At 44.0% G+C, this 14,444-nt stretch overlaps 1 protein-coding gene across 8 annotated transcripts in view, besides 1 other annotated feature; it reads right to left on the bottom strand.

Annotated features, from left to right (window-relative positions):
- ANKFN1 (ankyrin repeat and fibronectin type III domain containing 1) overlaps positions 1 to 14,444 on the bottom strand; it is a 470,940-nt gene that overhangs the window by 359,769 nt on the left and 96,727 nt on the right. For 4 of the 8 annotated variants that reach the window (NM_001365758.1, NM_001370326.1, XM_011524428.2 and 1 more), the window contains exon 1: positions 3,718 to 3,773. The exons of the other annotated variants lie outside the window; for them this stretch is intronic. Coding sequence is in view for 2 of the 4 variants with exons in the window: in XM_011524428.2 (XP_011522730.1) it covers positions 3,718 to 3,738 (21 nt within the window). In the remaining 2 variants the exon portion in view is untranslated. Of the gene's footprint in view, positions 1 to 3,717; positions 3,774 to 14,444 lie in introns of those variants that run through there. 8 annotated transcript variants of the gene reach the window in all.
- Positions 14 to 220: a silencer, noted in NCBI's record as "fragment chr17:54234389-54234595 (GRCh37/hg19 assembly coordinates)". NCBI's record gives its function as "represses an EF-1alpha promoter that drives an FKBP-Casp9 reporter gene in an ReSE screen in K562 erythroleukemia cells {active_cell/tissue: K562}" and the evidence as "EXISTENCE:reporter gene assay evidence [ECO:0000049][PMID:32094911]".

The following is a 14,444-nucleotide window of genomic DNA, read 5'->3' as shown; positions in this document are numbered from 1 at the left end:
AGCAAGTATTTGGGATTCCCTTCTTCTCTACCCAGGTACCATGCCCAGAGTCCCCATCCTCTCCCTTTGCTGTCCCCTGCCAGGTGACCAGTGTGTTTCTGCTGGCTCCCAGTGGCCTGAGATCTCTCACTGCAATATTCTACCAGTACAGTGCTCTCCTCAAAAGAACCTCTGAATCCCACTGTTTTGGAGACCTAGAGAGGCCAGCCTTTCCTATTTGGTAATATCTAAGCTAAATACAATAAAGCCATGCCAATTAAGGGAGAAGAATGGTGTAGATGGGGGGCTGGCAAACTTTTTCTGTAAAGTTCTGGCAAGTAAATATTTTGGCTTTTTGGGGCTACACTGTCTTTGTTGTAACTAATCAACTCTGCTGCCCTGGTGTGAAAGCAGCCACAGATAGTCTATAAATGAGTGAGCATGGCTGTGTTCAAATAAAACATTATTTATAAAAACAGAGGGCAAGCTAGGATTGCCCTGTGGGGCTGTAGTTTGCTAACTCTAAGCGTAAAAGAAAGAACATGAGGCAGGAACAAAGAACCTGGCCCCTAGACACAGCCCTGACCTTAACCAGCTGCAAGACTTGGCACAAGTCACCTTACTCCTTCCTTTTCCACCTCCCACGTTCCCAAAGGGAGCAAGGTATAAAGAGGATAATATATGAAACCCACCATGCATCTTACGTTTCCAGTTGTCTTGCTCATCTGTGGCCCATAGTGCAAAGGTCATGGGATTAGTTTGGACAATAACACTATCATTTTAAGCAGCTGCTTTGAGATAACATATGTAATCTCTCTGCTTTCATCTTCACAACTCATTGAGGTAGATAATGTGGTCCCTCTTTAAGAGGTGAGGAAACAGGCTGGGCGTGGTGGCTCACACCTGCAATCCCAGCACTTTGGGAGGCCAAGGTGGGTGGACCACTTGAGGCCAGGAGTTTGAGACAAGTCTGGCCAACATAGTGAAACCCTGTCTCTACTAAAAATACAACAACAAAAAAATTAGCCTGGAGTGTTGGTGCATGCCTGTAGTCCCAACTACTCGAGAGGTTGAGGCATGAGAATTGCTTGAACTCTGGAGGTGGAGGTTGTAGTGAGCCAAGATTGCACCACTGCACTCCAGCCTGGGTGACAGAGTGAGACTCTATCTCAAGGAAAAAAAAAAAAAAAAAGAGTGAGAGAGAGATGAGGAAATGGAGAAGAGGGAAGTTAAATAACTTGCCCAAATTACACAATAGGTCAGCCTCAAGATCAGGATTCAAATCCAGGCCTATCCAACCACATCCAAGTTTCCCAGACACCATGTGACTTCCCACGTAGGCTGCTTAGTTTCCAAGCCCTTCACTCTAACCAACCACTTTGCAGATATCATCTATAGAACACTATCCTCTGCGCATTTGCTGGAGTGATCAGATATAATTATTTCTATGTAAAAATTTATCCAATGGCTTCCCATTGGTCCCTATCATGACCTACAAGGCCCCTGTGATCTGTGTCATCTCACTCCAACCTTCTGACCTCTCCTCTCTGCTTCACTCTGTTTCTGCCCCAGGCACCTTGCTTTGCCTTAAGACATGCCAAGCTGACTCCCCAAATCAAGAGCCTCATACTTACGGGGGTCCTCAGACTCAAGCCAGTGCTATTCTCCCACTGTAAGCACAGCTTATTCCTTCACTTAATTGGTGCCTCAGCTTAACTGTCACCTCCTCAAAGAGAACCTTCCTGACCACGCTATCCAGAAAAAAGGAAAGTTATTGGCTTTCAATAATTACCTGTTGATTGTCGAATAAATGAAAGACTATATTGGAATGAAGAGACAGAGCGTGGCTGGCTTAGGACCAGCTGCTTGGCACATTCCAAGGGCAGAGATTCAGACCTCTCAGCAGTGAGAAGCCTTGTCTCATGGAAGAAAGGTAGCTTGCTTGCCTATATCAGAACAAATGACAGTACTGCTTTGTGTCATCTTCAAAAGTACCTAATACAGGAGAGGTGACACAAAACTGGGAGAGATAAGTCTCATGACTCTGAATAAATGTCAGAGTTACAAGGGACCTGAGGAGTCCTCTAAGGTCCAGCATTTTCCAGCTTCCAGTCTCTGAGCCACTTTTTGCTCTACTTCCTCCTCTGTCTGCCATGTTCCTTTTTGCAGCAGCTGTTCTTGACCAGACGGGCCTCCCTCTCCCAAACCCTCCTATCCCCCAGGGTTGAGGGGGGCATGAAGGCTTTAGATAACTACTTTTGTTGGGAAAACACTGTTCTCGTTTAAACTCTGTCACTTCATGGATGAAGAAACTGAGTGTTAGAGAACTGAAATAGTATGGTCGAAGTTCTGCCACTAATTAGTGTCAGACCTGAGCCTAGAGCCTAAGTCTTCTGACCACAAGACTAGTCCTAGCTCTACACTTCATGGAACAAATGGTAATCATACCCCACACTGTTCATTCAATTCAATTCTACAACCATGAATGGAGCCCCCCAAATGTACCTGGCCCCTAACTGGTTAGAATCAGGGGCAAAATATTGAAAACTGTATAGTTCCTGTCCCCAAAGGGTTTACTGAAAGTTTGAATACATAGTAAAAGGAATAAGTTTTTTTTTTTTTTTTTGGTGTTGGCATATTGGTTAATAGGTTAATGCAGTAGCCAGTTTAAACTCAGCAAGTACTTCAAGATACCTTCTCAGAGGTTCCATAAGCAGTTATGCTTAGGCCTCACTCTGGATGTGATTTTATAAGGAAGGAAGGAAAAAGAAAGAAAGGAAGGAAAAGAGAGAAAAGGAAAGGAAAACTGAACGGTGCTCTGGCCTCCTCCTTTCATGCCTTACTTGCACTTATCTCTGGTTTTTTCAAAGGTCTTAAGCTTCAGGTTCATTCCTGAAAAGCTTTTTGGTAAGGTCCTCACCTACTCTGAACTCCTGAGGGGAAGTGAAGTAGCTGAATAAGTTCCTCCTATTAGTATCCCCTACCAGGACCTCAGCCAGGACTTCAATAATAACCTTCTGAATTATTGTAGAAACCTGTGATTAGTATTAACCAAGTCAATAACAGGCATTTCCTCCATCAACCAAAGGCACATTTGAGGTCTTCTGGACCAATCTGGGTCAGTAACAGGGATTCCGATACCACCGACACAACCCACAGGGTTAGTATGTGTCAATCAGTTCTGTCCTGCCTAGCCCTGGCTCAGCTCTTCAGAGATGACCTCTTACAAAAAAAAAATCCACTTCCAACTTTAGAAAAAATTTTACTTCTCCATCATCATGACAATAAAGTCCATAAAAAGTGAGAGAGAGAGAAGGAGAGAATCCATGTGGGAGACAGTGAGAGCGTGTGAACAGTCAGAAATCATGAGCAAGAGTTGGCATTAACATGGAGACAAGTAATCCCTGGTTTCCTTGCTTTATATAAATAAAATGATAAGGATAAAAGAGAAAACAGACCATAAAGTAAAAACTTGTCTCTAGAAGCCTCTCTCCTTTAATCTCCCCATTCTCCCACCTCCCAAAAGACAAAGACACACATTACAGACCCAAACTACTTCAGATCAACATTTGCCTGTTTACAGAAATGAAACCAGCTTTCCCTCTGCCTGACCATGGATGCTCACCAGCTAACGCCCGAATTCACTCGCCCACTCAACTCACATTTTCCTGCCTGTTGAATGCAAAACAATGGCCTCCAAACACCAATTACCGATATTTAGAACTATTGTTTTCCTACCCTGGTTAGAGACGCCTCCATGAGAGACACAGGACTGAGCTCTTGAGTTGAAAGAGGACCTGGGGGGTGGAGGGAAACCCCTTTGCGAATGTCCACACGGTCCCGTTGCCAAGGGAACCCTGGCTTTATCCAGGGAGACTGAGCATGGCTGCCTCTCCCACGGCTTGGCTCCAGGAGTGTCCAGATTACAGTGCAGGGTCAAGAGGAGAGGCAGGGGAAGTGCCACACAGGCTTGGTGACAAAGAAATCGTTTTCAAAGAATGAAAGAAATGGTGAAAAATATCTTAGGAGGTGCCCGGTGGGGAGGGAATAAGTTGATTGATAATGCTGCGATCAGATTTGAGTTGGTCTTTGTGCCCCTGAAAGGGGTGGGATTCGAAAGTATATCTGAAAGGAGACAGGGTGGGAAGGAAAGAGAGAGTGAGACTGAGAGAGGAAAGGTTGAAAGGGGTGGGTTTTAGCCTCCTTCTGCGGATGCTGAATACTAATCAGGTAAACAATTATTTCATTAAGATGCTCAGTTGAAGCTTTGGAATGGATTATTTTGGCTACTGGATTGGTTGGAGGAGCTGTCTGGCTGTTTCCTAGAAGTCTGGTGGGAACTGGAGGGGAGATGATAATATAATCTTGATAGTCAAGCAAGTTTTTATTTGGCCTGCACTTTAAGGGCTGAGGCTGGCCTTTCTTTTCAGAGTGAAATCTCTTGGGAAGTGTGCCAAAGGAGGCACATTATGTGCATGCTTATTTTGAAAACCCATTTGTCAAAGGAGGAGTATGTTGAGCAGTGGTTTGGAGAGTTTGATTGGACCCTGATTCCTCACCTAGTGCCTGGCACAGTGTAGATGTTCAATAAAACATTTGCCACCTGAATGGTTGCTGAAGGAAAACTTGTTTCCAGCAACTTGCCTGTCCAGCAAGGATGAGTACTTTGAAGCAGTTGAGGCTCAGCAGATGTGGCTTACCTATTGACCCACAGATGAATGGGAACAAAATAGAGGACTTGAGCCCAGAGCCCCATTACCCTTGATCATGAATGTCTAATTGCTTTTTTAAAAATAGAGAATTCAAGGGAACTCTCTATCTAAATGTTGCTGCTACTATACAATAGGAAAAAAAAAGACAAGTAAATGAAAAGAAGTAATAATAGGTATCTCTGCAGGTGATCTGGGCTTAACATGGAGTGAGGATATTCGTACTGAGTTACAGTGAGGCACTCAGAAAAATTAAACACACACACACACACACACACACACACACACACACACACATATATATATATATATATTTCCCTGCAAGATGGTGAGCTTCTTATATTACTCATCTTCCAAGGCTTAGCTCTGGCATCAGTTACCCCAGGAACTTTCCATTACTATCCCCAACCTCAGCTTCCATAGTACTTTTTACAGTTTTTCCTCAGAATGCTTATCAAATGGATTTAGTTGTTGCTGCATGTGTACATAATCACAGGAATGGCCCTCTACCAGAATGGAATCTCCTTGATGGAAGGCACCATGCTTCATTCCTTTTCTTTAAAAAAAACTCTTTAATACTTAGTAAAACGCTTGTTACATAGGAAGTGCATGATACATATACTCAAGAATTGAACAGCAATGAGTCAATTTGTGAGTGTTTTGTTGAGTGTCAGCTGCATTAAGCTCAAGGGAAGATTCAAGTCAAGGTGAAGGTATAGTATCTGCCCGCTTCAAAAAGTTTAAAATCTATGTAAGATGAAGGTGACTTGGTCTTTAATGTTACTTAGGCTTACTGCAGTAAGTGTAGCTGAGAGTAACGGAAGTAATGCTTTTATTTAATGGATAAAAACCAGCTCTCTCAGTGGTGCTGTTGGTCAGATTGTGGCTATGAAACCCCAGAAACTCAGAGTTGCAAAAAGGCCCAGTTAGGCTTGCATGGTACGTGCTTATTTCTTCTTTTCAATACCCTTGGCTTTGTCAGCCCATCTACTCTAAAGAGGCCCCATTTAAGGGCGTGTTTCCTAGTAGTAGACAGGCTGGAAATAGCCCCAACCCAGCACTTTCTCCACTCTACCATGCTGCTTATTTTATAAAAAGACTAATCTAAATCCAACAAAACCTACTACCAAAAAATGCACAAATTACAACTGGCACATAGCCACAAACCCAGCATTTTAGACATTCATATCATTTGGGAATATCTGGACCCAGATTCCCTTCTTATTTTCTTCAGGGGATGATGACACAATACAAACTTTGCATGGCTGACAGCACTAACCAGGGGAAGATTCCAACCAAAGGGAGCAGGTCCTGTCCTCACTGCACCTTCATGATGAAAACAGCAGGTAGAGGGTGTTAGGTGCCAAAGTGAGTAATAGAGGACCAATGCTATAAGGTCATAAGGAGGTCACAGATGAAGACTGAGGACCAGAGAGGTGGCTGCACACTGAGTGAGCAGAGATGGGACTACACTCTTAGCCTGGAAACACTCAGCCACAACTTCCCTAGTGGGCTCCCCATGTCAGGTCCTTGTCCCTCCATCCTGCCTCTCACTCTGTCCCCAGAGTGAGCTCTCCAGGCTGATCATTCCACCTGGTCAGGTCACTCTATTCACTTCCCCGGTGTCCCAAATCCTTTCCCAAATAATCAACTAATTACTTCATCACATTCTTTCTCTTGCACTTTCCTTTGCCAATATTGACTCAAGTGACAGCAATGTCACTGATATCTCCCTGAGTCAGCTCTCAAGGTCACTCTGCTTGGGCTAGGGAGTGATAAGCGAGACATCATGGAATGAGAGTCTTGGTGGAAGGAGGCTAACCTGGGGTTATGTTACACTACAGTGGCAGGAAGGGACGATATTTTGGTGCTCGGCATTCATCATAAGGTGCTGAGCATTTTGGGAAGAGAATGTGATGAGCAGAAGAATGCCTAAAGGAAAGGGAAAGGAATTAGAATTCAGTTGTATCTACTACCCAAGTGCATTTATAACTTGTGGGCACCAACTAGCTTCTGCTTAAACCAATACCATTACCACACATTGGGATCTCAAAGTTAAATGCCTACAGAGGCCAGCTAAGTGAGACAAATGAGGGCAGTGGGCTTTGTGTCAGGTAATAAAGAGTGGTGGAGACTGTGGCAAAATAGGGACCGAATGCTACGTCTAAAGGGGGTATCGGTAACCCAGCTCCAGCTGCTTACTGACATGTGGGGTTCTGACCCAGGACTGCCACGTCTTTTCATATTTTTAAGAGAAGCTAGAAATGTGAAAATGTGTGAAATTTCCCAACTTAATCATGTTGATTCCAAGTGTTAACAAACATTGTGTAGGTCAAAGAAAATTACATATTGGTGGACCACATCTAGTTTCTGGGCTGCCACTTTGTGACCTTTGCCCTATATGGAACTTTCCAGTGTGTGCATAGGTGTCTGCAGGCAGGGATTTGTAGCTGTTGTCAATAATTCAGGCCAAAAAACTTACGTAGAAATATTCTTAGGGTAACAGAGAGTCATAAAAAATGTCAACATGCTACTCAGCAAAAGAGAGGGTGATCCAGTGAACTGATAGAAAAGAATGGAAAACAAAATAATATAATAAGATCTACACCTCCTCAGAAAGCATGGCTTTGTTTGAAGTGGTGATGGGATTGATAAAGGCTTCCTTCCAACCCTGGAAGCTGGACAGCTCCAGAGGCAGTCTTCCCGAATCCTCCTGCAGGGAGGCTGGGCTTGTGGAGGGGTAGGGAGGGATGTCGTCATGGAGAACAGGATTGCCATGCCAGGTGTGTAGACACATGTGTGGCTCAGCACAGGTTTTTCTTTTTCTCACTGGCCTCAAGCATACTTCTCCCAGCTCTTAGCCAGCATAACCTCAAGGCTTCTCATCTGGGGAGGGACTGAGAATGGTGAAATTCTCCTTTCCAAGGAAGCTCTTTCTTTACCTGTGACCACCTGTAAAGGCACTGGCACAAGTGCATGTGGCCCAGTCATTCACAGTGGCTGCCCTGCCTCTAGCCCTCTCTGTTTAAGCCTGAGGAGGAAACAATGCTGGCCTTCAAAACCCTTTTCATATCCTTTCTCACAGTGATGATACTGTGACTGTACCTCCTGAGAACTTGCCGTTGGTGCCATTTCAGCTCTTCCTTTTCCTTTAGTTATGATTCAAGTCTCACCAGTTATTTTTCTACAGAGCTTACTCATCCCAAGACATCATTTTCTATTTCTACAGCCACCATCCTTTATCCAGGTGCCCAAGATTTCAAATTCCTATTACTATTCATGGCCTGTGAAAAAGGGGTTTCTTGCCTCCAGTCTCTCCCCACTTGCCCCAAACACCACTTTCATCATGTCATCTCCTTCCCTATTATTTATTATCTCAAATTAAAATACACAAACATGACCGGAAAAGACTACCCCCTCTCACCCACCCCGCCACTGCCTCCATGTACAGCCTATCCAGTTACCTTCAGGCAACAGAAAGAGAATATATTTTGGAATCACACAGACCCAAGTTTATGTCTTGACTCTGCCATTTGCTCCCCGTGTGACCTGAATGAATTATATAACCTCTCTTGCCTGCAGTTACCTCATCTGAATATTGGGATAAATAATACGTACCTTTCATGGTTGTTGGGAGAATGACGTAAGCAAATGTGTGGCTACCTCATTGTAAGTACTCAAAAAAATAGTAGCAGTCATTAACATTACTCTCCACAAATGTAGCCTTAGAGAGACAAAATAAGAGGGTGTTTGCATCTGTCAGCACATGATAGAAATGTCAAAAGAATCTGAAGGAAAGTAAATAATTAATGGAAATGTGCAGTTATTTGTTCTGCTATTGGGCAAAAGAAAACTTTTAAGAATTTATCAAAAGAGAAGATAAAAGTCTACTGCTACCAAGTTTTGCCATTTTTTTTTTTCCTCCTAAACATTTTAGCTGTGTCATACCTATGTTCTCCTCCAACACAGATAGGTGGTTCTGATCAAAGTCCCTGCAGGTCCCCTTGTAAACGACTAGAACATGCTCAACCTTGTGCAATCTGACCTGCAGTCACCTTCCACCTTCATAGCACAATTAAGCATGGCAGAGCGGAAACATGTGAATTGTCTGAGGTCAAACAAACCCAAATGTGAATCCTGTCTCTATGTCCTAGCTGTGGGACTGCAAGCAGGGTATTCAATCTCTCCAAGCCTTAGCCTCTTTCCTGTAAAATTAGGAGAATCATCCCATTCGTGTAAAGAATGCTAGATTAGTGTCACTTCTAAAGGGATTCACCTATTTTAACTATGCAATAAATGTTACCTTCCATTTTGTTTCCATTTAAGTGGATGCCAATGTTTACATCTGCTAAGAAATTTCCTTGATCAAGTCCTCTAATGCTAACTGCTACTTTACTCTGCACCCTCTCATCAAATGAAATTTTAAAATCTTAGAGCTACAAGAAAAAAGAGTTTTTGAGTTAGACAGACTTGGTTTTGAATTCTGGTTTCAACAATAACTAGCTGTGTTATCTGGATAAGTCTCAGTTTCTTTATCTGTAAGACAGGAGTAACACCAGTTCTTCCTTTAGAGAGCACTTATGAAGATTCAATGAAATAATGCTTAGAACAGGATCTGGCAGAGAAGAAGGATCCAGCAGAGGGTAGCCACCCTTATTAAAGTGGCAAGTAGAAGTTGTAGCTAACAGGTTGAGATTTTTATCTTAACTTGACACAAGTAGTCCATTCCCATAACCTCTCTGTTTCCATATCTGGAAACTGAAAGTCATACACCTGCTTTATATCCCAGGAATCTTCTGAAGATGAAATAACATCATGGATATGAAGATTTCTTGAAAAATGAAAAGTACAGTGATAAATTTTGGCTGTGTCCCCACCAAAATCTCATCTTGAATTGTAGTTCCAATAATCCCCACACGTCAAGGGTGGGACCAGGTGGAGATAAGTGAATCATGGGGGCGGTTCTCATGATAGGGAATTAGTTCTCATGAGATCTGATGGTTTTATCAGGGGCTTCCCCTTTTGATCAGTACTCACTCCATCCTGCTGCCCTGTGAAGAAGGTGCCTGCTTCTCCTTTGTCTTCCACCATGATTGTAAGTTTCCTGAGGCCTCCCTAGTAATGTGAAACTGTGAGCCAATTAAACCTCTTTCCTTTATAAATTACCCAGTCTCAGGCAGTTCTTTATAGCAGCATGAGAATGGACTACTACAATAAATTGGTACCAGTAGAGTGAGGTGCTGCTATAAGGATACCCAAAAATGTGGAAGGGACTTTGGAACTGGGTAACAGGCAGAGGCTGGAACAGTTTGGAAGGCTCAGAAGAAGACAGGAAGATGTGGGAAGGTTTGGAACTTCCTAGAAACTTGTTGAACGGCTTGACCAAAATGCTGATAGTGGTATGGACAATGACATGTCCAGGCTGAAGTGGTCTCAGATGGAGATGAGGAACTTGTTGGGAAATGAGGCAAAGGCAACTCTTGTTATACTTTAGCAAAGAGACTGGTGCCATTTTGCCCTTGCCCTAGAGATCTGTGGAACTTTGAACTTGAGAGAGATGTTTTAGGGTATCTGGCAGAAGAAATTTCTAAGTGGCAAAGCACTCAAGAGGAAGCAGACATAAAAGTTTGGAAAATTTGCAGCCTGATGATGCCACAAAAAAGAAAACCCCATTTTCTGGGGGAGAAATTCAAGCTGGTTGTAGAAATTTGCATAACTAACAAGGAGCTGAAAGTTAATCACCAAGACAACGAGGAAAATGTCTCCAGGGCATGTCAGAGACCTTCAGTCCCTCCTATCACAGCCTTGGAGGCCAGGGGGTAAAAATGGTTTCCTGGCCCAGGGCCCAGGGCCTCCCTGCTTTATACAGCCTCAGCACACAGTGCCCTGCATCCCAGCTGCTTCAGCTCCAGCCACAGCTAAAAGGGGCCAATGCACAGCTCAGGCCATTGCTTCAGGGGGTGCAAACCCTAAGTCTCAGTGGCTAACACATGGTGTTGGGTTTGTGGGTGCATAAAAGTCAAAAACTGAGGTTTGGGAACCTTAAAAATTGAGGTTTGGGATGGGTGGAAATGCCTGGATGTCCAGGCAGAAGTTTGCTGCAGGGGCAGAGCCTTCATGGAGAACCTCCACCAGGGCAGTATGGAAGAAAAATGTAGGGTTGGAGCCCCCACATACAGTCCCCACTGGGGCATGACCTAGTGGAGCTGTGAGAAGAGGCTCACTGTTCTCCAGACCCCAGAATGGTAGATCCACTAACAGGCTGCACCATGCACCTGGAAAAACTGCAGACACTCAATGCCAGCCATGAAAGCAGCTGAGAGGGGGCCTGTACCCTGCAAAGCCACAGGGTAGAGCTGTCCAAGGTCATGAGAGCTCACTTCTTGCATCAGCATAATCTGGATGTGACACATGGAGTCAAAGGGGATCATTCTGGAACTTTAAGGTTTAATGACTGCCCCACTGGATTTTGGACTTGCATGGGGCCTGTAGCCCCTTAGTTTTGGCCAATTTCTCACATTTAGAATGGGTGTATTTACACAATGCCTATACCCCCATTGTATCTAGGAAGTAACTAACTTGCTTTTGATTTTACAGGCTCATAGGTGGAAGGAACTTGTCTTGTCTCAGATGAGACTTTGGACTGTGAACTTTTGAGTTAATGCTGGAATGAGTTAAGACCTCAGGCAATTGTTTGGAAGGCATAATTAGTTTTGAAAACTTGCCTTGTCTCAGCTGAGACTTTGGCCTGTGGACTTTTGAGTTAATGCTGATGTGAGTTAAGACTTTGGAGGACTGTTGGGAACGCATGATTGGTTTTGAAATGTGAGGACAGGAGATTTGGGAGGGTCCAGGGGCAGAATAATATGGTTTGGCTATGTGTCCACCCAAATTTCACCTTGAATTGTAATTCCAGTAATCCCCACGTGTCAAGGGTGGGACGAGGTGGAGGTAATTGAATCATGGGGGTGGTTTTCCTGATGCTATTATTGTGACAGTGAGTTAGTTCTCATGAGATCTGATGGTTTTATCAGGGGCTTCTCCCTTCACTTGACACTCAATCCTGCTGCTCTGTGAAGAAGGTGCCTGCTTTTCCTTTGCCTTCTGCCATGATTGTAAGGTTCCTGAGGCCTCCCCAGCAATGTAGAACTGTGAGTCAATTAACCCTCTTTCCTTTATAAACTACCCAATCTTGGGCAGTTCTTTATGGCAGCATGAGAATGGACTAATACTACAGGTTTTACACATCTGCTAGCAAAAAACATTCTATTTTTCTGACTCCCTTTATGTCTGTCTGTTGGTCTGACAGCTCACTGAAGTCAGGGAAAGATCCTTTAATTTCTTTTGTACCCATTCCATGGTTTCTAATTCCCATTGCCTGCTCAGTGCACACTCACTGCTTGTTTCTCACCCATGCCTGCCTTATAGAACAAGATAAAATTAAAAACACCTACCCCTTTTGTGTGGGCAGTGTTTCTGCCAAGGCAACGATTCAGCTCCTTCCTGGTATGAGGGCCTGAGCTGCCCCAAGGAGAGGGGAAAGATTAAGCATCTGTAATAAATGTTCCCTAGGCAGGGAGGGAAAAATCACCTAACACTCTTGTGGTTTTTAGAAAAAAAAAAGGGTAAGAGAAGAGAAGGAGGAAAAAGAAAATCCTGAGCTTTAAACAAGTGGCCAGGCTGTTTGTCACCTGTAAAATGAGGCGATGGAAAGCAGGAAAGGGCAGTGGTCCCTGGGTCTGCTTCAGGGATTTGTGCCTCAGACATCTGCTCCAATGCTCCTCGGCTGTCCATCTGCAATTTCTTTTTCTTTAACAAAAACAAAGAACCCTCACTGGACTGAAGTTTCCCACCTGGGCTGAATTTTCAGACCTGGCCTAGGTGGTCCCTAAGTAAATAATTTTATCCTCACTCACTCACCTCCTCCTGAGGAAAAAAACCCATCTTTTTGCTCAGTGAGAGAAGAAAGCACCCAAACCAAACAACAGATTCTCTGCAGCATTGGAACTCTCATTCTAGGGACTCCCGCGAGGGCATGCGGTTTAAATCAGAGTACCCAAGCTACTTGTCTATCTCCTGGGTAAACCTGATTAACATGGACTCAGAGAGAAAGGTTGGATGCATGCCAAAGTACTTTAGTGCCTGTGTAGACTGGTGCATGGACTTTTCCCATCACCCAATAGTTCTAGAAGTCCACCTGCAGGCAAAAAGTAAAGAAACAGCCTGACCTAAAGTGCAACCTGTGGTGTACTCTTGATTTTTCACATGGAGCCCTTCATGATTTCACCATAGCTGATAGATTCAATAGAAGTCCTCCTGCTGTAGAGAGAATTTCTGTGGTCCTTTTGCCTCTGCATTCATTTGGTTTGGGCTGTTTTTTTTTTTTTTTTTTTTTTTTTTTTTCAGATGCGCCTCTGTTTGTGTCAGGCACTTGTGCTAGGCTGGAGGGATCCAAAGATGAACAAATGACAACCTCTGCCCTCTGGGAGCACACAGCTCTTGTGATAAGGATAAAAATCCAGACTGATGATTATAAAGTGATCAGTTTGCTAGGGTTACTATAGCAGATTATCACACACTTGGTGGCTTGAAAAAGCCTCCACTTAACCTCTCACAGTTCTGGGGGACAGAAGTCTGAAATCCAGGCGTCAGCAAGGTTGGTTCTTTCTGGAGACTTTGCAGAAGAATCCATTCCATGCCTCTCTCCTGGCTTCTGGTGGCTGCTGGCAGTCCTTGGGATTCGTTGGCTTGTAGCTGCGTAATTCCAATCTCTGTGTTCGGCTTCACTTGGCCTTCTCCTTGTGTCTCTGTGTCACATATCCCTCTCCTTTATCTTATAAGGACGCATCACTGGATTTATAGCCCATGCTAAACCCAGGATGACCTCATCCAAAGACCCTTGACTTAATTATATCTGCAAATATCTTATTTCCAAATCAGGTCACATTCATAAAGTAATGGGGCTTAGGGTTTGGATATATCTTTTGAGAGAACACAATTCAATCTACTGCAAAGATCAAATATGATAGGTACTATAAAAATAGAGGCAAGCACAGAACATGATTGTAGCAGAGAAGAGAATGGTCCATTGCAGCTGAGTGAGAGTCAGGAAAGGGCTCTAGAGGAGGTGGCTCATAAGGGGAGTTTTGGGGGGACAAGCTGGCGTGTGTCCCAAGGAGGGGCTGCTTGTGTGAAAGTGAAGAGGTTTGCAAGTGTCATAAAGGGGATGACTCCAACTTTGGCACTTGAGTGTTGGCAGGATCCTGGAATCCCTTCTGTGCTCAACCATCCTCTCCACCACTGCCTTTGATACCTGACAAGAAAGACCTCTCTGAGCTGGCTGGAATTTCAAACAGTGCAGCCTCTAGCCTACCATGCGTGAAGCCCCCAAACTTGGCCTCTCATCTAAACATAAAAAAGCCCCAAACTACCCCCCAACCCCACCCCTAATTGTTCTCCTTCTCATCATTGGAATTCTTCGCAATGTCTTCTCTTCCTGAGAATCTCAGCTTCCTGTGAATACTAACTAAACATTCATTCATATTCATTGGTGAGGGTCATCTGTCTCAGCCTCCAAATGCATTCCTGGGTGAGTGATCAGATCGCGCCTCTGGGAAAACTGACCAAATAGAAAAAATGGTGGGAGTGGGGAATCATAGAGTATTTGTGTGAATGGCTTGTGTGGAGTGTGAGTAGGGTGGAGGAGAAGTTAGTTCGCATTGGAGAGGTAAACAGAAGGCAAATTACAGAGAGTCT

The sequence above is a fragment of the Homo sapiens genome, chromosome 17 (assembly GCF_000001405.40).
Source record: "Homo sapiens chromosome 17, GRCh38.p14 Primary Assembly".
Taxonomy (NCBI): Eukaryota; Metazoa; Chordata; class Mammalia; order Primates; family Hominidae; genus Homo; species Homo sapiens.
The sequence above is the reverse complement of the archived record's forward strand: the minus strand, read 5'-3'. Positions and strand labels throughout refer to the sequence as shown.